This window comes from Homo sapiens, chromosome 4 (assembly GCF_000001405.40).
Source record: "Homo sapiens chromosome 4, GRCh38.p14 Primary Assembly".
NCBI classification, from domain to species: domain Eukaryota; kingdom Metazoa; phylum Chordata; class Mammalia; order Primates; family Hominidae; genus Homo; species Homo sapiens.
Genome location: NC_000004.12, coordinates 143,407,699 through 143,432,102, shown reverse-complemented (window position 1 = coordinate 143,432,102; position 24,404 = coordinate 143,407,699). Strand labels below are relative to the sequence as shown.

Below are 24,404 nucleotides of genomic sequence, written 5' to 3'. Positions count from 1 at the left end.
TCCCGGTAGAAGAAACCTATTTGCATATGACAGGTTCTTCCCCAGGCATCTTTTTCTTTTCTCCACGCTGTCAGCAGTTAACACAGCCTTGCATTTAAGCTGTCTTTTCCTATTCTCCACCAGGTCAGGAGTTAGCTTTAAAGCGAGGCCTTTTTTTTTTCTTTTTTCAGAGTTTTGCTAGACCAAGAATGATAAGGAAAACTGCTTCTTCTTTCTCTGTAAAGTTTTAGTTATGAAAAAGGATTTGTGAGGTTGGGCTTAAGCTTTAGCCAATCTGGTGTGCTTTGCATGTCTTTCTGTATGGTCAGTAGCAAACTTTGCTGCAGGCCTCCATCTTGTTTTACGTCCTTGGAAGTGTGACCTGTAACCATGTGGCAATGCTTTGTTTAGCCTCCGCCATTTTACAATGGTGGCCCAGGCTCAATCCTAGCTCAGGCAGAGTCCTTTCTGGTTTGATATCTATGTGACTTTTGCTATTTGTTTATTCTCTTCCTCCCCACCAACTGCCTTGGGTTTTCCTTTCTCTGAGCCTTTAGTAAAGTTTGAAAGCCAGAAACACTGACCACTTCGCGCAGCTAAAGTCGGATAACAAAGAATTTAAAAGAATTTTCTTAAAGAGCACTCAGCTTAATTAAAAGTGGATATCCAAATTATAGGTATATTTAAAAGGCCTTTATGTTTTTCTCTTCCTGGGTCTTGTTTTGCTGGAAAAGGGCTTTTTCTAGTCAACTGAATTATTTTTCTCCATTTTGCCTTGCCACCCTTAATTCTTGCATGAGAGGGGAGAGACCTCTGTTTTCCTCATGAAACCCCAGAAATTAAAAGTGAATAGATCCCTCTCAAAATCTGTTTTTGCCTCCCAGTTATAACTGTTTATTAGGCCTTAGAAGCTTCATGTTTTCCTAATCCTGTCTCTTTATGGGCTCAACCCGGAGGTTGGCAAATGAAAAATCTTGTGGTTACTGGATTTTCTTCTGCCTGTCTGTGTAGCTATATATGTGTTGTCTGGGTGATGTCTATAAAAAGAGCTCTAATTAATTAAAGAAGGATAGGTGCTTGGATCAAATATTGAAAGGGTAGATAAAAGCTGTGTGGTACCTTTTAGTTCACGTGACTTTAATCTTTGAGACATAGAAAAAGCCTAAAGATTATTGGTAAAATGCAGATGTCAAAATGTAAATTTTTGCCTGGGGTTAAAGGATTGTTTTGAATTAGATAAGATAAAGCTAGAAGTTCAAACAAGTTGTGAAAGGATTGTAAAAATTAATCTTGCAAAAGAAATTCCAAGTGTGAACATATTAACTAAATTCAAAAGCATATAATATGGTTTTTCTGTAAATTGAGCACTGAAATAAAAGCACAATAAGGTACTCTTAAGGCACTAATCTCTATGGCAAAAGTTTTAAGGGGTTATAAAAGGTTTCTGCTTTTTCAAGAATTTGAGTCATCATTTTGGCAAAATAAATAACTTATGGTAATCTGAAATTCTATTTCATAATATCAAGTGCTTTAACCCTCTAACATAATTAACAGGCTTCCCAAAATCAAACTTCAGTTTCAAAATTGTCTTTGCTGACACCTGGCTTTCTGGATGCTACAGAGGGCTCCTGGAGCACCCAGAAGACAGATAAACAGGACTATTTGACATGTTTAGGTACATGGGATTGCCAAAATGATGTTTAATCTTCTTCAGGTTATATCTTAGGGAATAATATTAATATATGTTCCAAAATTGTATGGGATTTCTAAAATTCTAATGTCTGAGTATATGCTATCAATCACAATTAAGGTTGTTATGTTATTGTAAACCACAGAGATAACCAAATTTCTTTTTCAATTGTGTTTCTGACTGTAACTACTGTAGACATTTCATTACTCACTGACAATTGTCTTGTTTTGATCCTCTTCAAAAGATGTTTATAATCAGCTACAGAACTTTGACAGGTGCTTTCAAATGTAGGTTTCTGATAACTTGGGAGATTGTGACATTGGAATAAAGGAAAAATGTACAGGATTCATGGAGGGCTGAAATGTTCACGAACATCAAGCAAAACGAGTTAACTAAATGGACTGAACTCACAGAAAACTGAAGTAACCTTTTTGACTTTTGCTTGGAACACTGCTGATCTTTGTTTATCAGAGTCCAAGGAAACTTATTTTGAGCTATTCATGGCCTTTAATAATTGAGTAAGGTATAATCCTGTGAACAAAATTTGGAGCATAGTTGTCTCTCTGCCTCTCTTCTCCAGAATTTGGAAACTAGTTGTGAGTATTCTTAACTTATAGCAATATGGTTGTTTGCATCAATGCAGTAAGAATCCATTTTCTTTTGCAACAGGATGCAATTGGAGAAACTGGTTGTTTCACCAAGGCTTTGACTAGAAAGGTATGCTTCCCTTTAAGGAGTCAAGCTCTACTTGCAGAGCTGAATCTTTATTCAGCCCCTTGGGAAAATTGGCCTCATAGCTCATCTACACAGTCCCCGTACAGGGTTCCTAACCTGTGGTGAGTAGAGAATGCCACTTTCCAACAGGCCCAGGACCCACATGTTCTTGGGATCTCAGGAAGAGAGGCGTTTACCCAACTCACAAGTATTTGAGGGTACAAACTCATGGATGGACTTGGCTTTAGAAAGTCCTATCTGAGACTCCTTGTGGAACAAAGTCGATCTAAAAGGCCTATGTTAAATTAATTATTCAGGCTGGGCACAGTGGCTCACACCTGTAATCCCAGCACTTTGGGAGGCTGAGGAGGGCAGATCACTTGTGGTCAGGAGTTCAAGACCAACCTGGCCAACATGGTTGAAACCCCATCTCTACTAAAAATACAAAAATTAGCCAGGTGTGGTGGCACGTGCCTGTAGTACCAGCTGTTCAGGAGGCTGAGGTGGGAGAATCACTTGAATCCAGGAGGCGGAGGTTGTAGTGAGCCGAGATTGTGCCACTGCACTCTCACCTGGGCAATAGAGTAAGACTCCATCTCAAAAATAAATAAATAAATAAAAATTCTTGCTGCACTTTATGCAAATAATGGGCCAAGTATAAGACTAAAGTCTATTTTGCAAACAACTCCATCCTATCATGATTTTTTTTATTTATTTTTATTTATTATACTTTAAGTTCTAGGGTACATGTGCACAACGTGCAGGTTTACTACATATGTATACATGTGCCATGTTGGTGTGCTGCACCATTAACTCATCATTTACATTAGGTATATCTCCTAATGCTATCCCTCCCCCCTCCCCCCACCCCACAACAGGCCCTGGTGAGTGATGTCTCCTTTCCTGTGTTCAAGTGTTCTCATTGTTCAATTCCTACTTATGAGTGATTTGTTTTTAACAAAAATGAGGACTGGAGAGAGAGAGAAATGTTTCAAAACTTCTCATACATTTGTCATTATATTCTAGACCCATTAGTTGTTTTTAAGTTCTTGCCTACATTTTAAACTTACCCTGCTTATTCCTGTGAACCAACCAGCAATCTCTGGCTGCAGCTCAGAAGAAGCTAAGGGGATGGATAAATCTGGATCAATATTCTAGTTCTAAGCAAATATCCTGCAATTCTTGTCAAGTGATGGGAATAAACAGGATGCCCATCACCCAGAGGTTTCCTTTTTGGAAAAGTAAGACCAAGGGAGCTAACCAAAGCCAGGTCCCATGCACCCAAATCTTAGCAAGCATAACTATAGCCACCAGTTATCTGGGTGTGTCACAAGACATCCTTTTCTCTCCCTTGTTGGAGGAGGACTCAATTCCACAGCTTCACCTTAGCATTCAGCTTATGATATAGAGTCCATACAACCCCCCAAGACACATTTTTGTCTCAAACTCAATTCTAAGCTTTGGGTAAAAGCCCTAGGAAATAAAACTAGATCTGACAGGTCCAGAGGCAGACAATAATGGAAGTTAAAAGGCACAGCTCAGGTGAGTGTGACTTATCCCTACCGATTAAGCCAGGCTTCTCCTTTCACGGATAAAGGTTATACCAATATCCATGGCATAAATGCAGTCTAGGGAATTCAAAGGCTACTGACAGCAGGGGAGATAGGGCATATGTGGGTAAGAGCACATATTCCCACCCCCATAGGCCCCCCTATTAACATAGGTGAAGGCCACTTTGATACCCATGGGTGGAACCCTGTAGAGGTTGCTGGGAATTGGGGATATAATGATGGAAGAAAGAAAGAGATGCTTCACTTTCTCTCCCTCACATACTCTGGGTATTCACTAGGAAGAGAAGGGAACCTGGGATGCTTTGCTCCCCTCTTTCTAGATGAGTAGCCATTCACCTTTAGTCTGTACCCCTTTCAAATGCATTCTGAATCCGTAGGACTCCTTTGAAAAAAAATCTTCTTTTTCCTCCTCTGTCCTCCCTTTGCTGATAGGTAATTTTGTCTCTGTACTATGGGACACGCCCCTCTGATGTAGCCTCCAAACTGGGAAAAGTTAATTTCCCAAACCTTAAACTGGTTGACTTAGGATTGTGCTTGGGGGAAGGGAACACAGAAGCCTGACATGCCGGAAAAAGGGTAAAAGGTTTTGTTGTTGTTGTTGTTTTTTTTTTTTACCAGTCAGGCTTTGGCCTCCCTCTCCCTGTGCAAACCGATAAAAGACCTTGGGATTTTTTAGCTGTATTTACCCGCAACCCCGTTCTGTTTTCATACATGTTTTTAATAACCCGGTTTGTCTATTCTCGCCTTCAGGCCATCAAACTCCAAACAGTCATGCAACCGGAGCCTCAAATGATGGCCCCTTTTGCCAGGAACCCTTAGATAAGCCTCTGAGGGGGATCTGACTGCTGTTTTCCCAAAACAGGGACCCTTGTCAGCAAGAAAAAGTTAAGATTGGTCTTCATCCTTATCCTTATTATAAAGGCAGTTAGATGCACTTCTTTAGAGTGGGGAGTGATAGATATAGGGAGGAGCCTGGCCTTTTCAGATCCTGGGTGATGGCCTGGAATTCAGTCTGTGAGGTGGGGAGCCTATTAGGAGGACCCCCTCTCACTTTCCTGAGAGTACTTTTTTCTTCTTTTCCTCTTTGGCCCAATAAATTCTGTTCCCCTCACCCTTCAATGTGTCTGTGTTCCTAATCCTTCCTGGTCTTGTGACAAGAGCCCAGTTTAGCTGAACTACAGAGCAAAGTTCTGCATCAGTAATGCATTTCATTTGGCTTGTTAATTTACCATAGAGAGGTGAAATATCTGCTCTATTTTCTCTAGATAATAAATTATAAGAATAAATCCACATGCTTTTGATAATGCCTTTATGTATTTAACTATAATATTCATAAATGTACCACAAGCATGTTTATTTAGCTCATTTTACAACCTTCTGGGCCTAAGAAGTCATATCCTAATAATGAAGCCTGAATAATAATGTATTAATATGGCTAAATATGACAGTTTATCTCTAATTGTGGTTCCCAATAACAAACAAGAAAGGATCAGAACTCCTATGCATTGTGCATTACACATTGCAGATGCTGAAAAAATGTTTCATTCACAGGGCAGACACTCACTGAGCGCTCTGTTTGTTTTATTATTTATTTATTTTTATTTTTTGAGACAAGGTCTCCCTCTGTGCCCAGGCTGGAGTGCAGTGGCACCATCTTAGCTTACTGCAGCCTGGAACTCCTGGGCTCAAGCAATCCTCCCCTCCTACGTAGCTGGGGCTACAGGCACACACTACCACATCTGGTTAATTTTTTAAACTTTTTGTTGAGACAGTGTCTCACCATGTTGCCCAGGCTGGTCTCAAACTCCTGGGTTCAAGAGATCCTCCAGCCTCAGTCTCCCAAAGTGCTGGAATTACAGACTTTGTGTCAAGTCAGAAGAAATTAAGGCAAGGGGCACTTCCAAATCTGTTAAGACCCATTCACCTGCATGTGCAGTTTTGGGATTTGCTCCTCAAAAACTCTGAGCACTCCTAGATGAATCAAGTTCAAAAATATTCTGTTAGAGAATCTGGCCTGAGTAAATAGAAGGTGAACCAACCTCTAACTTTTTATCTTTACTATACTCCATGTAATGTCAAGTCTTCATAGCTCATCTAACAAACTCTAACACCTTATACCTGGAGTTAATTTTTTCTTTTTTTGTAATTTTTAAAATTTTTTTTATTTAGATACTGATGTTTATTTTCCATGTTGCTTAAGAACCCGTGCAAGAACAGCTTAAGACCTTCCAGTGGTTGCTCCTACCCATTCAGTGGCCTGAGCAGTGGGAGCTGCAGACCAGTCTTCTATGGCAGGCTGAGTGCTCCAGTCTTCAGAAGGGAACTGCTGAAGAGGCACAGAAGGCACCTGCATGCCTTCAGATCAGTGTGCAACCTCAGGCTGAGTAGCAGTGAACTCAGGAGCTGGAGCAGTCCATTCACACTGAAATTCCTCCTTGGTCACTGCCTTTTCAGTAGCAGCCTGCTCTTCTTTTTTAATCACTTCAGGATCTCTGTAGAAGTAGAGTTCAGGCATGACCTCCCATGGATGTTCACGGGAAATGGTGCCACGCACGCGCAGAACTTCCCGAGCCAGCATCCACATCAAACCCACGGAGTGAGCTCCCTTGTTGTTGCATGGGATGGCAATGTCCACATGGCACAGAGGAGAATCTGTGTTACACAGAGCAATGGTAGGTAGGTTAACATAAGATGCCTCTCTCTATGAGAGGCTGGTCTTCAGCCCTGGGGTCAGTAACCACAAGAAGCCATGGCTCCCAGAAGGCTGTCTGCATCTGAAGGTTCCAGGAGTGAAGTGACCAGCAATTGGATTGGCTCCAGTGGCAGCAGCAAACTTCAGCATGGCTCTCTGGCCAGTATTCCTGGAGGATATAACACTGACATCTGCAGGGTTTTCAACGGCAACAATGGCATGAGCTGCCAGCAGAAGCTTCTCCCAGGTCCTCTTCAGATTTATAATGTAGATGCCATCACTTTTCCTTTTAGAGATGTACTATTCCATCTGGAAGTCAAGACTGGTGCCACCTAAGTGGGTTCCTGCTGCAAGGAACTTAAGGACATCCTCCTTCATTTGCAGGACATCAAGGGCTCTGGACATTGTGAAAGTTTCCCTTTAAGTTACAACGGGAATCCAGAACAACGCCGTATGGACCCCTCTGTGGGTAGCACAGAAAGGCCTTTTTTTTTCTTTTTTTAAAGTCGGAGTCTCGCTCTGCCACCAGGCTGGAGTGCAGTGAAACAATCTTGGCTCACTGCAACCTCCAACTCCCTGGTTCAAGTGATTCTCCTGCCTCAGCCTCCCGAGTAGCTGGGACTACAGGCACACGCCACCACGCCCAGCTAACTTTTGTATTTTTAGTAGAGACAGGGTTTCACCATGTTGGCCAGGATGATCTCAATCTCCTGACTTAGTGATCCATCTGCCTCGGCCTCTCAAAGTGCTGGGATTACAGGGAGCCACCGTGCCCAGCCTTTTCTTTCTTATATATAAACATAAGAATAAAAAAATGAATTTTTGGATATTTATATGACATAATGCCATAATTTCAGTGGATGCTCATAAGTACCTCTTGTGGTATCTAAAAATGTTGATTATAAAATGGTCATCAGATCCTACCCTGTGAAATGTTTTACTGTTTTGATTCAGTTGCAAATACAGAGATTTATTTAAAAGGATTTAAAATACCACAAATGGTGACTCAGAGTTAATCCTTGAGGATTTAAGAGAAGTATGAAAAATATTTATCTTTTAAAGAAGAGCTTAAGAAAAATATATACAGTATTGAGGAAAAAAGAGCAGCCCACTCAGAAAACTGTTAATGTATCCTACACACTGTATTCACAAGTGTATTCCATATACTTCCCCTTTCCTCTACAGTACAGGCATGGTAAAATGGAATAAACCAGCTCAATTTTTAGTTCTGACCAAAAAACACTACTCACTGGAAATACTTCCCTATATGAAACAGTATGAATTCTAGCTTTTCACTGCAACTACTAAAATAACTTTTTCAGGTGGTTGTTTTTACAGATACACTTTTAACACTTTTTTTAAACTTCATGGCTATACACTAAATGCACTGAGTAGAAAAGAAAATCACCTAGCCAGGCAATTACGTTTGTCTGACTTTGTTTTATTAACACAATAGGACCATCTCATTTTTAACCTTCCACTTCTCCCACCTGTAAATGACAGAAGTGTCTTACCCTCTTTATACCTGCAAGATCCTCTCAATTTTCTGAAAAGAGGACAGAGATTCAAAGTTTCCTTTTTTTTAAAAAAAAAATATCCTTTTCATAGCACGTGAAGACATATATATATATATATATATATATATATATATATATATATATATACACTTTTTTTTTTTTTTGAGATGGAGTCTCGCTTTGTTGCCCAGGCTGGAGTGCAGTGGCGCGATCTGGCTCATTGCAAGCTCCGCCTCCCGGGTTCACGCCATTCTCCTGCCTCAGCCTCCCGAGTAGCTGGGACTACAGGCACCTGCCACCACGCCTGGCTAATTTTTTTGTATTTTTAGTAGAGATGGGGTTTCACTGTGTTAGCCAGGATGACAGGCACCTACCACCAACGCCTGGCTAATTTTTTTGTATTTTTAGTAGAGATGGGGTTTCACTGTGTTAGCCAGGATGGTCTCGATCTCCTGACCTCATCATCCACATGCCTCAGCCTCCCAAAGTGCTGGGATTACTGGCGTGAGCCACCGTGCCCAGCTGAAGACTTACACACTTCTAAGAGGCAATAACTACAGAAAAACTTTCATTATGTTTGCTAGCAAGATCATGAAAAGACCTTTAAACAGCCATTAAAGAAACCCCAACCACTCCAAACCACATTAACATACAAAGGACTTTAAAAGGGAAGAGGGAACTACTTCACTACTTTGGCTCAGACAATGCACTATCTTCAAAGTTGTAGTCTTTGGGATTATTTTACTCATGTTAATTTGACTATGTACTCAGCTCTGCATATTTTAATACAAGCATTGCACTGTGTGTAAATATTCTCGAACATTGCATTTCTGACCAAAGCTAAGCAACTGGTCTGAAAAAATAAACTTCTGTTCTACTTTATAAAGACTTGTGATTTGCCTCTATTCTATACTACTGTACCAGTAATAGAATAGACCATTTTGCTTTCTGCCTTGAGTTTCTGACTTACTGCTCTTTCTAAGTAATGCTGGTATCAAGCTTCTAAGAACTAAACATTAGTTTAGGGTTTGCTTATGTGTGTAAAATTATTTCCCATTTCTTAAATCAGAAGGCATGAAGAGTATAATTAACATCCATTAAAGGCTAATAAGCTGCTGGAGCAAACTCCTAATTGAAATTTACTTAGGAAGCTATTAAGTACTGCTAGGGAAAGCCTTTCAGTGAACAAGCTTCCAGTGAAGAGTAGATTATCATGTGATGAAATCCACAAATAATAAACTGGCCCACATGACCCCTAGCCTAATGCACAGTTTATCCTATTTGAAACCATAATACCCTTGTGTTAGTATCCCTCACAAAAGTTGGGGTGCCAAGACAATGCCTCTAAACATTCAAAATAATTACTTAAAGAAACCCCAAATGGTAGAAGAGTTGAAGCCCTAGGAAACAATTCTACTCTTTCTTATTGGTAAGGTAGAACGTTTCAAACTTGATGTGATAGGCTCTTTGAGTTTGTAACCACTAAATTACTGTATCTGAGCATATAATAATAAAACTGTGGTGATCCCCATGTTCTTTTCAGGAGACCAAATACATTTATTTTCTCTGAAGATGGGCTATATCTACTGATAGAATAATTTTTTTGGTTTCTAGTGTAAAAGTTTACCTTTATGTTCACAATTAAATGTAAACAGGTCAGGGTTACTCTGCTTCTATTGATTAATGATTTATCTGGTGTGCTTAATAATTTTTCTTTCTGTAAAGAGAAGCATTTTGAATAGAACTGTCTAACTTAGCAAATAAGGGTCTACAAAGAGTATGCATTATCATTAATACTAACATACCATTTTCTTACTCTAAATACACCGTTTTTTATGGAAGAACATTTCAAAAAGGCAAATCTAACAAGTGGATACAAATAAGACATAGCAGTAGTTGCAATTTTCTGTGAAGCAGCCTGCATTGCAGTTTCTTCAATTTATTCACTCAACTACTGAAGACCCTTAAACATAGCATGATCTGTTTAATCTGTTTCAAGTAGAAAAACTTTTTATTTGTCATGACTCCCTCTTTAGTAGATTGTGAAATATTCTTGGAGACTTTAAATTAAACCTTTAGGCAATGCTGACAAATGCCATAATTCTTATCCAGAGGTTTGAAGGCCTAAGAATCACTTGTGGGGAATTTTAGAAATCTAGGTGACAGGGCCCCACCGCAGGAGACTCAATAAATCAAGATCTCAGGAGCAGTGGCTTGGAAATATGCAAAAAAAAAAAAAAAGAAAAGAAAAGAAAAGAAAAAAAGAAAAAGAAAAAAAACCTAAAAACTCTCTGGTTGAATTGGTTCTCAGGAAAATGCAAATTAACACCACAAGATACCACTAACACCCAATAGAATAGCTAAAATTAAAGACTGACAACATCAAACATTGATGAGAATGTAAAGTAAACTCTCACACGCTGCTGGTAGGTAGGCAACTGGTACACTAACTTTGGAAAACTAAAGCTGTTAAACCTATTAAAGCTAAATATACGTCTGTACTGTAACACAGTTATTATACTCATGGGTGTATACACAAAAGAACTAAGTGTTTATGTTCATCAAAAGACATATAAAGAAATGTTCACTACAGCTTTGTGTTAACTAAAAATTGAAAACAACCCAAACATCAATCAACACTAGAATAGATCCACAATTTGTGATATATTCACACAATGAAATGCTACAAGGAATGAAGAACTCTTGTTACATGCTACAACATGGATGAATCTCACAGGCTTAATACTGGAAAAAATAATGGTTTCAATGGTTCCTAAGTTCAAGAATAGGCCAAACTAATCCACAGTAATAAAAGCAATTTTTAAAAAAGTTAATTTGGGTGGAGGCTTTATTGGAAAGAGGCATGAGAAAACTTTCTAGGGGAGGGGAAGAGTACCATTCTTAATCTGAGGGGCAGTTACACAGACATCTGTATCTACATGTAGATATAGATCAATACATAAAACTACATTGAACTGTATACTTAAGATCTGTGCCCTTCACAGTAGTAAGTTATACCTCAATAAAAAAGTAAATAAAAAGAAATTTTAAAAAGTCCCTAATTGAGAAAGATTGCTTTACAGGAAAGGAAGTGTATGTATATTCTTACATGTTAGTTTATATCTACTTGACTCAAGGGGAGAATATCAAACAGAGAATTGTACTTTTTTTTATTAAGCCACTATGATCTGGGCATTTTGAGAAAAGCAACTCAGAGGCAACTTTCTAATCCTGCATCTAATTAGATTAGAGACCTTTATATGAAGTTAGTGAGCTGCTTCCCAATACTTGTTTAGCAGATCTAACAGCTTCCACCTTGTGTTGCAGAAACAAAAATAAATCTGTACATTTCCAAGAAAAACAAAATTAGTTTCTACCCTCAAATCTACTAAAGAAAAGCATTCATAGGAACCACACACAGTTTAATGAGCTAGGACTTAAAAACAGATATAGCCTGCCAGCACTTTCAGTATTCAATAATAGCAGTGGTCACCTGGGGCAGCGGAAATAACATGGTAACGATATTTTGAGAGGTTCCTGGAATCAAAACACAGGTCAGATTTTTCCCTTTTCCTTTTGTTTTCAGGGGAAAATTAGTTATTCTCACAGGGACTGGGGACAGTTATTTTCTTAGACTGTGATAACCAGTCTATAGAAATGGTCTATTTCTTCTCACATCTAGTCTGAAATTAGCATAGTAAAAAAATTATCTTGTGCTGTTAGCTAATTTTCAAGCCAACAGTAGGACAGTCAGCTCTCTCAAACAGGAAGAGCAGAAGGCTTGGGACAGATCTAGATAAAAACAAAAACAACTATTATTTAGTGATTGGTGGTGACATCTATTTGGACACAAGAGAATATAAAACAGGTAGTCAAGTCAGTGGAAGAACAAAGGCATTTTGATGTTTACCTTGTCATATTAAACTGTATGAATATGATTACAAAGGATAATAGCAGTATTCTGCTATTTAGAACTTAAATGGCTGAAAAACTTTGAGAGTCTTTTTGCAGTTTCGCCATTATGGATCAAAAACCAAAATTACAGAATAAAGTATGATTTTGGCTGCTTAATACTACATAATGAAGAACTGTTCATGCTTTACAGATTTATTCCAAGAAACTCAACAAATACTTCAACACAGTATATTAAGACACTTCTAAATGTGGCTATTTGGGGAAATAACCAGGATGAAGTTGTGAAAAATCTCAATCATAGAATTTAAAAAATAAATGCAGTTGCATTTAGATATAGCTCATGACCTCAATGTAGAACGTATTGGCAGATTAAAGTCCTTAGATACTTGTTTTATCTATTAATGAACACATAAAAATGACTTGTGATTAACACAGCTGTACTTGGTAGCCAACTCACAGACTATATATAAGAAATCTGATTAATCATACTGTGAATTTTCTTACAACCCTTTCCCAACCATGGATATTGTAAAGATGAAAAGTTCACAAGTCAAGAGTTACACTCAACCTAAATATACCTCTCATCTATTTTGTAAGGAATTGGGAGTTCTGCACTGAAAAGATCACTGCTGCTGCTAACTATGCTTATCTAGTTCTTCTTTAGCAGAGCGCTTATGAATCAGTAGTATAATTCCTGGATTATTTGTCCCTCCTACTAGACTGACTGTAAGCTCTATGAGCACAAGAACTATATTCATAAACTTCCATAGAATTATACTTTTACACATATATATATGCACTGTATATATATTTTAATGCATAATTTATATATACATATGTATATATAAACTTGCACTCATCAATTATTACAATGAATTATTTTGGATATTTCTCTTAATGACTCCTCTCCCATTAGATGCTCAGTCTGTGATGTTTACCTTTTGTCTCCTTAACTAATCACCTAATATATATTTGCTGAATGAATTCCCACAGCCTAGTAGAGTGTCAGCAAACTCAAATAATTTGGTGAACTAATCAATCAATTTTCTAAAAGCATACCAAGCTTTCCTTCCCAGAGCAGAGTGGGTGTTTGTCAGGCTCCCAAATGATAAGAATCATCCTAAGGTGGCCAAATAGACAAGACGCTGTGCCTTAAAACTTGCAAAGTTAATCTCAGACACTTGAGAATTAAAAATTCTTATTTTGGGTTCTCAACCCTACCCACCCTTGAATAGGCTTCAAAAAATTAGACTCATATTCCTTGACTGAAGAATGCACATCCTCTATGAGAACATCTCATTTCCTTTGTAAATATATTTAGGAGCATTGTAAAAAAAAGTAAGAGAGGTGGAAGAACATCTATGATTTAGCTTTTTGGATCAGCTCAATCTATACAGACAACCAACAGAGACAAAAGTCTGCCCTTATGTCCCCCCAAACAAATTCTACATTGAAAAGGCAATAGGCAAAGGAACAAGAAGAAGATAATAAAATGACAAATTATTTTAACTGAAAATCCATCACATAATAAAACTAATGTGCTGTCTAAATCCAATAATTATCATTGATGTCATTGACATCAACTGACTAGATGTTAACCATTAAAAAGAGCTACCTCATTTGTAATTTTAACTCTGAAACCCTCTGCTGCACTCAAATATAAACTATAAATGCAAACAGGAAAGGGTTTTAACTGAAGTTAGAAGTAGCACCCCCATGCCCACTTACACTGTGACCACGTTTAGTAACTTCACGAAAACAACTGAACCCTTAATTCCTCCTGTGAAACAATTTCTTGAGGTTTTTAATCACTAGAGCTCTGCTGAAGATCTCTATTTCATCAGCCCCCTCCCAGCTAAGCTGGACCCTTCCTTCCCTCTTAGACTGCTGTTCCCGTGAGATTCTGAACGCCCTCATTAAGGGGTTTCCCCGACCCCACTGGGCAAACCCCAGCCCTGGCAGGCTCCTTTCCCCAGGGCTGCTGACTGGCCAGAGAGGAAGCGGCACGCTGGCCTGAGCTCATTAGAGATGATTAGCTCCACTTCAATCCGAATCTTGGTGTTGATTATTAACACAATTTTCCACTCCTTATGGTATCTACAGCACTCCTAAATGTAGATGTTCGGAAATGCACGCTTCTAAATGTGAGTATAACCACAAAGACAAGAAGGTCAAAGACCACAGTTCACCTTTATTTCTGATTCTTGGCTCTACAAAACTACTTTGTACTGGAGTCCCCTACCTACATGTTGAGCGTTTGTTTAAAAAGGAAGAGCAGAGAGAAGAAGTGGTCAGCCAGCTATTAAAAAGTGCCCGAGGTCAGGTGTGGTGGCTCATGCCTGTAATCCCAGCACTTTGGGAGACTGAGGCAGGCGGATCACTTGACGCCAGGAGTTGAGACCAGCCTGGCCAACGTGGTGAAACCCCATCTCTATTAAAAATATTAAAAATTAGCCCAGTGTGGTGGTGCACACCTGTAATTCCAGCTACTCAGAAGGCTGAGGCACGAGAATCGCTTGAACCTGGGAGGCAGAGGTTGCAGTGAGCAGAGATCATGCCACTGTACTCCAGCCTAGACGACAAAGTGAGATCCTATCTCAAAAAAAAGAAAATAATAATAATAATAAAAAAGTACCCGAGGTAGAATTCCACTTGTAAAATTCTTGAGCCCTCTAGTCACTCAGCTCTTTCCAGGATAGGCACCCCAAATCTCAGTCCCTCATTCAAGATTTGTAAGCAACTGTCCCTGGGCCTTTTTCACTCAGAGCCTTACTGCCCCAGTCAAGTAAAATTCGATTCCTTCTCTGGGTCTGTTCTTTCCTAAGTCCCTAAGCCTGGAGGGTTCTGCGTCCCTCCTTTCATTTACACAGAAATACTGTTTCTTTCAAAAGCCTACATTTTGCAATTTATTTTCCTTTCAGAAGCTTTCCTTCACTACCTCTTACCCAAACCTTGAGCCCCTCTTTCTTCTTCCATGTTCCTTGTAGGACCTGTGCTAAGTAATTCATTTGTTTGGTACTTGTTCATTGTGTTTTGTGACTGATTCTCACTTGCATTTCATAGGTAATGATAATTACCTTGGCTATTTCCTAACTTCATAACCTATTTATGCTTGAGGTTGCAATTTTTTGAATGTTTGCAATCAGACCTTGGCGATGACCTTGAGCAGTGGGATATAAATAACTCCCACATGCTTAGCGTTCCAATAATGGAACACTAGGCATAAATGGGATAATCTAATATAGTTTTTTGAGACGGCATCTTGCTCTGTCGCCCAGGCTGGAGTGGAATGGTGCAATTGTGGCTCACTGTAGCCTCCGCCTCCTGGGTTCAAGCGATTCTCCTGCCTCAGCCTCCTGGGTAGCTGGAACTACAGGCGTGTGCCACCATGCCTGGATAATTTTTGTATTTTTAGTAGAGATGGAATTTCACCATGTTGGCCAGGCTGGTCTTGAAGAACTCCTTACCTCAAGTGACCCATCTGCCTCAGTCTCCCAAAGTGCAGGGATTATAGGTGTGAGCCACTGTGCCCGGCCATAATCTAATATAGTTTTAAAATATATTTTTAAATAGCACCTAAAGAATTGGGTTGAGCTACATAAAAGTGCTTTTTTTTTGAGACGGAGTCTCGCTCTGTCGCCAAGGCTGGAGTGCAGTGGCGCGATCTCGGCTCACTGTAAGCTCCACCTCTCGGGTTCACACCATTCTCCTGCCTCAGCCTCTGGAGTAGCTGGGACCACAGGTGCCTGCCACCAAGCCCGGCTAATTTTTTTTTGTATTTTTAGTAGAGACAGGGTTTCACTGTGTTAGCCAGGATGGTCTTGATCTCCTGACCTCGTGATCCACCCGCCTCGGCCTCCCAGAGTGCTGGGATTGCAGGCATGAGCCACCGCGCCCGGCCAAATGTGCTATTTTTTAATAGGTGAAAAATAGTAAAATATCAACAGTGTTATATGGTTAAACTGAATATTTATATTGGAATTCAATAAATGTTCTTAAAATGTCTTCTTGTCACCTTTTACTTCAGGATATTTAAAAACTGCCCCAATATGTCTAAGTCTGTCGCTCTAAAACTGGTAAACAGCTTCTCCCCAAACTAATTAAAGGATTCAGTGCTTTTTCCAAATGTCAAGTTCCTATTATAAAAATAAAACATTATATTGTGTAACTAAAATAACAAAGAATTGTATGACATTTCTGGAAATGTAGCAGAAAAGAAGAATTCAAGTTGAATAGTAATATCTTGAACTTACCTTCTTCTGTTGGATTAAACCCACAGATGTCACAAATACAACGAACCCACTTATTCATCTCCTCCTCGCTGTCTGCTACCAAGTAGAAAATCCGGTCAATAGTGTTGATATCAAAAATGTAGCTGTTTTCAAACTCTTTTTTGTTAAATGTCAATCCAGCATCTACTTGTTGACATAAATTTAAATCAATAATACGAATAGGCTTCTTGGCATGATCATTTTTGTAATATTCCAAAACATCTGGATCTCCAGTTAAACGGCCACTGCGTAACACGAACCATCTCCTCTTCCATGCCTAGAAACAAAACAAAAATATCCATTCAGTATTAACTTGAGATAATGTTTTCAAGAAGATGCACATTTATCAAACTGATTTTACAAATGCATTGTTTAGAGAAAGTCACAATATGTGTGTGTTTGTGTGTGTGTTTTTACCACAGGATAATCTGCCACTCTGAAAAGCAACGTTTACTCATAACTCAATTAACTTAATAATGTATATATATATTCAGTATGTTCGATTAAATCTCCTACTATATAATATTGAGGCAATACATCAAGGAGGATTCAGTTTTTACTAAATATGAAAAAGTCATGGTTTCAACAAATGGTGTTAGGAAAACTAGAAATCCATACGCAAAAGAATGAAGCTGGACATTATGCTAAGTGAAATAAGCCAGTCATAAAAAGACAAATATTGTATGATTCCACTTATATGAGGTAGTTCAAGTAGTCAAATTCATACAGACAGAAAGCAGAATGGTATTTGTCAGGCCCTGCGGAGGGGGAGGGGTGGGAAATGGAGAGTTATTACAGTATTTAATGGGCCTAGAGTTTGAGTTGAAGAAGATCAAGTTCTGGAGATGATGGTGGCCATGGTTGCAATGGTGCTGTGAATGTATTAATACTTAATGCTAGTGAATTGTATATTAAAAATAGCTAAAATGATAAATTTTATGTTATGTATATTTTGCCACAATTTTTAAAAAAGCAACAGATTTTCATGCATTAATATTATGCCATAAAGAATACACATAAAGCTGCTTCTTCATAAGACTCCTACAGATTTTAAACACTTAAAAGATTTCTCTTTTTTTTAGGTGCGGTGGCAAGGAGTAGGGAGGGGGAAAGGTTTTGAAGCTTTTCTGGCTTCTTGACTGGGAAGCAATTGATTGTGTCTCTCTTTTAGCCACACAGCCTGTTGTTCAAAGACTATACGAGTAAGACCTGTATTCTTGAGTATGGGATTTAACTCTTTCTAATATTTCCCCTCCTCTTCCCAACAAACATACATGGGCAATCTGTAATACACTCACCACATACCCCCTCCACAAGTTCTGGTAAATTTTGAGTTTAATACTATACCTAGAGAAGCCTAAAAAATTATTTTACTATCACCCTCCCTAAATCTATGGTCACCAAATAATAAAAGCAGAACCAAATGACAAACAGCCTTCCTTATCAGCCTTTAACCCCAACATGTGTGCCTGGAAACAAACTTACACCTTACTCCTCTTTGAAATTCTTCCTCAGGGAGGCAGCTAGACAGAAAAGAGGCCTATTTTAGCAAGTCTCAGTCATTTACTAAGAAACATTCTCTGCTCCAGATTCAACATTCTAGGTAAGACTACCTCAAGAGGACACTCTGGGCCTGGGTGCAGTGGCTCATGCCTGTAATCCCAGCACATTGGGAGGCCGAGGTGGGCAGATCACCTGAGGTCAGGAGTTCGAGACCAGCCTGGCCAACATGGTGAAACCCCGTCTCTACTAAAAAATACAAAAATTAGCTGGGTGTGGTGGCAGGTTCCTGTAATCCCAGCTACTTAGGAGGCTGAGGCAGGAGAATCGCTTGAACCCGGAGTTGGCAGTTGCAGTGAGCTGAGATCACTGCGCTCCAGCCTGGACAGAAGAAGACTCCTCCTCAAAAAAAAAAAAAAAAAAAAAAAAGGGCAGCGGGGTGGTGGGGATGCTCTGGGAAGTGGAAGGACTCGAAAACCCCCAGTGGAATAAAACATTCCCTTTGCTACTTGTGGGAAGAAAAACAAGTATATAATTCATTATTCCTACCTTCAAAGAATTGACTAATTGTGGAAAAAAATATTTAACATACATGAAAATACTTGAGACTACAGCAACCCAGGCAAAATGTCTGCAGAGGTATTGCTACATGAACAAGCATTCCTCTACAGAAAAATTTAGGCAATCCTTTAACAAGAGGATGACCAGAGATCACAAAGGCCTAAAAACATTATATAGGTCTTTAATCATCAACATTTTAAATTAACTTCTCATTCTTCACGCAGCTCAAAGGAATAAGTATATAATTTGTGTCCAGGGAAGGCAGGGTAGAGTCCTATAGATGTTTTAGATAATATTGAAAAGTCATAAAGTGTTGGATTCACATGATTTTAGCACTGTTTTCTGGACTATAAAAATCCATTCATTGAATATGCATCTACTTACTGCAAAATAAATAAATATCATCTCTTAGTAAAATTATCCCTCTATGGATACTTCCCTCTCAAGCAGTAAGCTTTAAAAAGTAATGCAGAAGTAAAGCAAAAGAATATAAAATATGATGTTATTTATGCAGGGCCCTCAAGAAATCATATCATTCAGTAAGTGATTTCTCCAGATAGTGAAGCTTCATCTTTAAATACAGAAATGACTTTTTAAAACTTTATTGTCTTGCACGCAAATCTTTCTAAAATGCTTTACTACATACTTCACCAAACATAATCCATTCCCCAATGATTCAGACTAAGTATTGTAAGCATCCATTTCTATACTGCACTTCAGGAGACTCTCAGAGGCTGTTGCACTGTATAGAGTGTCATTTGCCCCTATACTATTAATAAATAGTACCATATTGCTATGCTTGTATAGTTCATCTTTTAAATACAGTTTCCTGTCTTTTTTCTCTCAATTTCCATCAACTGTCACTTTTCCCCCTCCAATAATAGGGTTTATAGGAGGCTAAACTCTTACCTGCCTCAGGGACTTTGCACATGTTTTCCCCTAAATACATTATATTCTTTCCCTCACTTTTTGCCTGGCCAACTCCAACCTTCAGGGCTTCTCTTCCCTGACCACCCTCAATGCAACCAACTCCAGTGTAAACTAATAGCATAGTTTTAGAGATCCTATTACTTACCTACGTAGTGATTTGTGTAATTTTGCAATTCAATTTTTCTTTGTATTTATTTGTGTAGTACGTAACTCCCCAAACAGACTGAAAAGTTCAAGAAGATAGTGACCACGCCTGCTTTATTTGCCATAGCACAGTGCCTAGTACATAGCATATCTGTACAATAAATAAACAGAATTCTCCTGAGAGAGTAGACTTGTAAAATTTTTGAGATTAGATTTGATACATGGGCCACAATGAAGAGAGTGCTTTCAAAGCATCTTCCACTTGAGAAAAAGAGCTCCAATACTGAACATATACATAATAAAATAAACATAACTAAGACAACTTTACCAAAACACATGCACAAAACATCTTGGGAAAATGGCAAAAACAGAAAAGCACAGAACATGTCCTTTTGCTACAGCTTATGTGTCACTCTTTGTTTTCCGGCTAACTGTGGCTCCCCCCCATCCATTCCTTGGCTTCCCTGTTGAAATCACATTGTTACAATTCAAAAAGCCCTTAGGAACTAAAATAAATAATCAAGAAATGAGTAGCAATGAATTGAGGTGCATTAGATATATTGGGCTAGTGATTACAGAGGCTGAGTAGACATTATACAAGACGTGAACCCTTACGGCAGGAAATTACAGCATTAAAACACAGAATTTAGCCAAGCAGCACCTGCCATTTATTTATTTATTTTTAACATGGTCCAAATGTGAATGTTTGTCTCAGTCACAAAATGAGTCACCCTCATTGAATCTGGCACAGATTAAGCTGGAAAACAAAAGCAATTACATAAACTACACACTTTAATAAGGCAGATACAAAGGTTCTCTGGATTATGGTACAAAGCACAATTTAGCCACAGAATAAAGCTTGATGCTCGACAAGAGAACTGACATCAGCACCCTTGCTAATCACAGCACAAAAGCGTCTCTATGTTTTGTCAGAGCACAAAACGGGCCCACATAAATCAGTCTTTGTTATCTGAAAATATCTGAGATTCTTAAAGTTTGTCCTATTTTTATCCTTGCTGCCTTGGTAGCTCCAGAGAAAGCCGTACACTGCCTTGCCAATCCTGCAGAGCAGGAGCAGACAAAAAGGACAGGCTTTCTAGAAACCTTCAAAACCAAATACTCAAAGTAATTTTAAAAGAAATTCACACAAAAAATCATTTTAACGACTAGACTTCCATTACGAGCAGGTAATGAAGAAGCTGAAATTTGCAAGATGTCTGCATAGTTGAGAAGGACTATGTAAAAACTTATTTTGTAGCCATTTCTTATATGCAATAGTCACTCCAATTTTGAGTTGAACAAATAATTTGTTAACAAGAAGTCAACAGTTAAGTCTGGATTTTGGGGTAACTTAAAAGTACCAAATTCTGAAGCCAATTCCCTATGCTCAGTGACTGCCCCCTGTGCCTACAGGATAAAACCCAAACTCTGGCAGGGTACACAGGACCCTCCAATCAACTCCCGCCCCATCTCCACCCCTAAATCTCTCCAGCGTCACTTCTTGCCCCTCTGCCTTCCAACCACATTGGAAATACTTGTAGTTTCCCAAACACTCTGCTCTGTCCTGCCTCTCACCCCTTGGCACAAAATCTACCCCCTAGATTTAGCTCAGCCCTCTTCGGGGCACCATCCGAGTTGGCTCTGAGCTCTCCATTTCCACCTTTTTCCTAAATCATTTGACATCTGTGCATTTGAATGTACTGAGGGCTGGAGCCATTTTAACCTTTCTTCTTTCCTTTCCCATTGCCTAGCGCCAAGGAGGTGCTCAGTCAATGTCTGCTAAATACGCAATACAAAATGTTTGAGGCAAGGATTAAAAATACAGAAGTTCTCATACTATTTATGCATTGCAGGGATAGTGATATAACTGCGATCTGCCCAGCCCATTCAAGAATTGGTCAGGCAAGCATAGAGGTGTGTAAACAAATTAATTTGTTTTTAAAACTCTACAGACATAAGAGAGATGTTTTTAAACATCATTTTAAAAGAACTATTCTTTTAAACATTTCCTGTATTTAGCAAATTGGATATGCTCACCTGTAGAACTGTCACACTGAAGCTAGGTCTTAAGGCAGGCTTATCACACACCCTAGAGTATGGGTATGTACATACTGGCAAGAAAGTACAGATGGGAGTCCCACTATTTGGTGGGAAGGAAACATTTTTTAACCTGGATTAACCCCAAGCCATTAATGGCTGTAATATTACTAACAAATTCACAAATTTTGCCTATATGGCTGTAACGTTACTAACAAATTCACAAATTTTGCCTAATTAACCTAACTAGCAAATGGCTTCAGCTTTAAAGAAAAACATTGTAACTGCTGTACACCCTGTTTTGTGAGTTCTCTGTGGTATAAATGACAGCTCACATGCCTGGTGTGATGCTTGCCAAAATTCCCTCATCTTTTCCCTGTACCTTTACTGGAAGAGCTAATTATTGAGGAAGTGGCCAATATATGGGCAGGCAAGAGAGAAGATCAGAGAAGAGGTCGGGGGTAGTCCATGGGTTCTCTGCCCTGAATGCACATTAGAAATATCCGGAGAGCTTTGCTTAAAAAAAAAAAAAGCTTGGGGTTTCACCTTAAGCCAACTAAATTGTAGTGTATGGGGGTGGGGTGAAGATTGGAATAGGCAGGTTTAAACACTCAACAGATGATTCTAATGTGCCACCATGATTAAGAACCATAGATCCAATCAATAGGATTATATTGCTCTTTAAAGTAAAATTTCAAAAACAAAACAAAACAAAACAAACACAGGTCCTTTCAAGCTTACGTCTCATTCTTCATCTTCTTATATTAATATCTTCTGCTCATGCCAATGCTGTCTCTATCTTCCTATTTTTGTTCACAATATTTACCACTAGCAAATATCTTTCAAACCCAATTCATTCTTCAAGGTTCTTTTTTCCCAACCTTCCCCTTTCCTCCCCACACCCTACCTTCCTACCACTGACAATCAATTACTGCTCTGTAATATCTCTTGCATTGCTGTAGAATAGATTGGAACAGTCTATTATTTTACATTTCCAAACTCTCCAAATACTTATGAATTATTTTCCCAACTGGACATTAAGCTCCTTGAAAGCTAATTCCTTTTTTTTTTTCTATCTGCAACAGCACTTCATGCATTGTAAGTGCTCAAAGCCTTGGTGAGATGTTGTCCATCAGAATAATCATCACAGACAGCCACTGAGACTAAATGAAAAGATTTCAGAGCGGGGGGGGGGAAAGTTCAAAGTTGTTATTGAAGTCCAAACTCCTTCAGTAAGATAGCATACAAGGTTCTTCAAAACCATACTTACCTGTCTCATCTCTCCAATCTCTCACCTCCACAGATGGCCTCAGACAGCACCCACATGGTCCTTGTTTCTTTTTCAGTCTGAAATACCTTATTTCCCTCACCATGAGCTCCTACTCATCCTTCAAGACCTAGCTCAAGACCTGTTCTTTAAAGCTTTCCTCAACTTCCCCTGAGATAAGGCATCAGCTCCTGTTCCTTTGAGCTCTCAGCAACATCACGCAAGTAGTCCATTAACAAGCCCATTCCCTTAAGCACTTGAAAAAGAACTCTGCTGACTGCATCTTGGGGTCTCTTGGTAGTTGTTAAGCCCTAACAAAGTATACCTTGTCCAGATAGCTGAAGAGCAATACTTTCTACATTCCTGAGCCAACTTCCCTTCTACCAGGAAGCTCCACCACTGTAATTTTACTAACCCGCTCTTTTCCTGAGAAAGTGTGGGGAAAAAAGTAGAGCGGAATTTTTTATTTTGAAATCTCTTAAAAGGTATTTCACAACTGATATTTAAGGAAAGACCATTATTGTGACTTCTTTAGTAGAATTCAAAATTTCAATATACTCTCAGAAATCTGTAAAATGTCGGGGTTGAAGATGTGCGTTTCACAAAATGAAAATGCTATTTTTGATAAGATAGGTTGTAATCTAAATTTTATCAGCAGGATAATGGTCAAATAAATTATGGGACATCTACACAATAAAGCTAGGCAATTCATTCAAAAAGTGACATGGATATATATACATGAGCAATGCCCACAAGATAACTGTTAAGTAAAAAAAACAAGGTGCGGAATTGTACACATGGTATATACTTCCATTTGTGTGAAATAACTGTGTGTTTGTACAAACACAGCACAAACTGTGTGTTTATACAAACACACACTATGTTTAGAGAACAGGTCTGGAAGGACACATACTAAGTTGTTAACTCTGATAACTAAGAATAGGTCAGATGAAAGGGCCAGATGAGTCTCATATTTTACATACTTTGTTTTTTCAAAATGTTTCCATTTATTGCTTTTATAATTTTAAAAAATTGTATGTTTAAAATAACCTAGGAATGATGTGCACAAAACAAAAAGTTTATGTGTATATGGAAATGCTATTTTATTATTACTCTGCAATTAGTGAATGGATATTTAACCTTTCTTTTAAATATAGAATTCCGGGATACATGTGGAAGGAGTCTCAGCCAGGAAACAGCCTAGACAGATAAAGAGTCACGACTTTATTTTAAAGACTGGCACTTAGGGGGTTAAACAAACAAACAAGAAAAGTTGGGAACACTTAAAATAGAGGAATAAATTTATTTTTCTTTCCTTAAAGTCATTATAATATATTGCTTTAATTTTCTCTAAAAACCATGCAGTAAATGGTAATACATTGAAATATTTAAAAATCTAAAATAAGCACTTTAGGAATTACTTTGCCTATTAAAAATATTTCCATAATACTATTACTAGGGTAAATAAAATAAAGAAAAACAAATTAACCATGAAGCAGGGACAAAGGAAAACCATTTGCTTTAAAATACTTGAGTTGTTTTCCAGGAAGCACCATCTTTTCTCATAGAGCAAAATAAGGAAAAAACAGGCTCGGTGGAAGTTTCCACTCCACTGG

The 24,404-nt window shown here is 38.6% G+C and overlaps 1 protein-coding gene and 1 pseudogene across 16 annotated transcripts in view; both read right to left on the bottom strand.

Annotated features, from left to right (window-relative positions):
• The window catches only part of GAB1 (GRB2 associated binding protein 1), a 137,690-nt gene that overhangs the window by 42,463 nt on the left and 70,823 nt on the right, over positions 1–24,404 (bottom strand). For all 16 annotated transcript variants that reach the window (NM_207123.3, NM_002039.4, XM_047449969.1 and 13 more), the window contains one exon: positions 16,332–16,626. In NM_207123.3, the coding sequence (NP_997006.1) occupies positions 16,332–16,626 (295 nt within the window). The remainder of the gene's footprint in view (positions 1–16,331; positions 16,627–24,404) is intronic.
• Positions 6,119–7,127, bottom strand: RPSAP36 (ribosomal protein SA pseudogene 36; annotated as a pseudogene).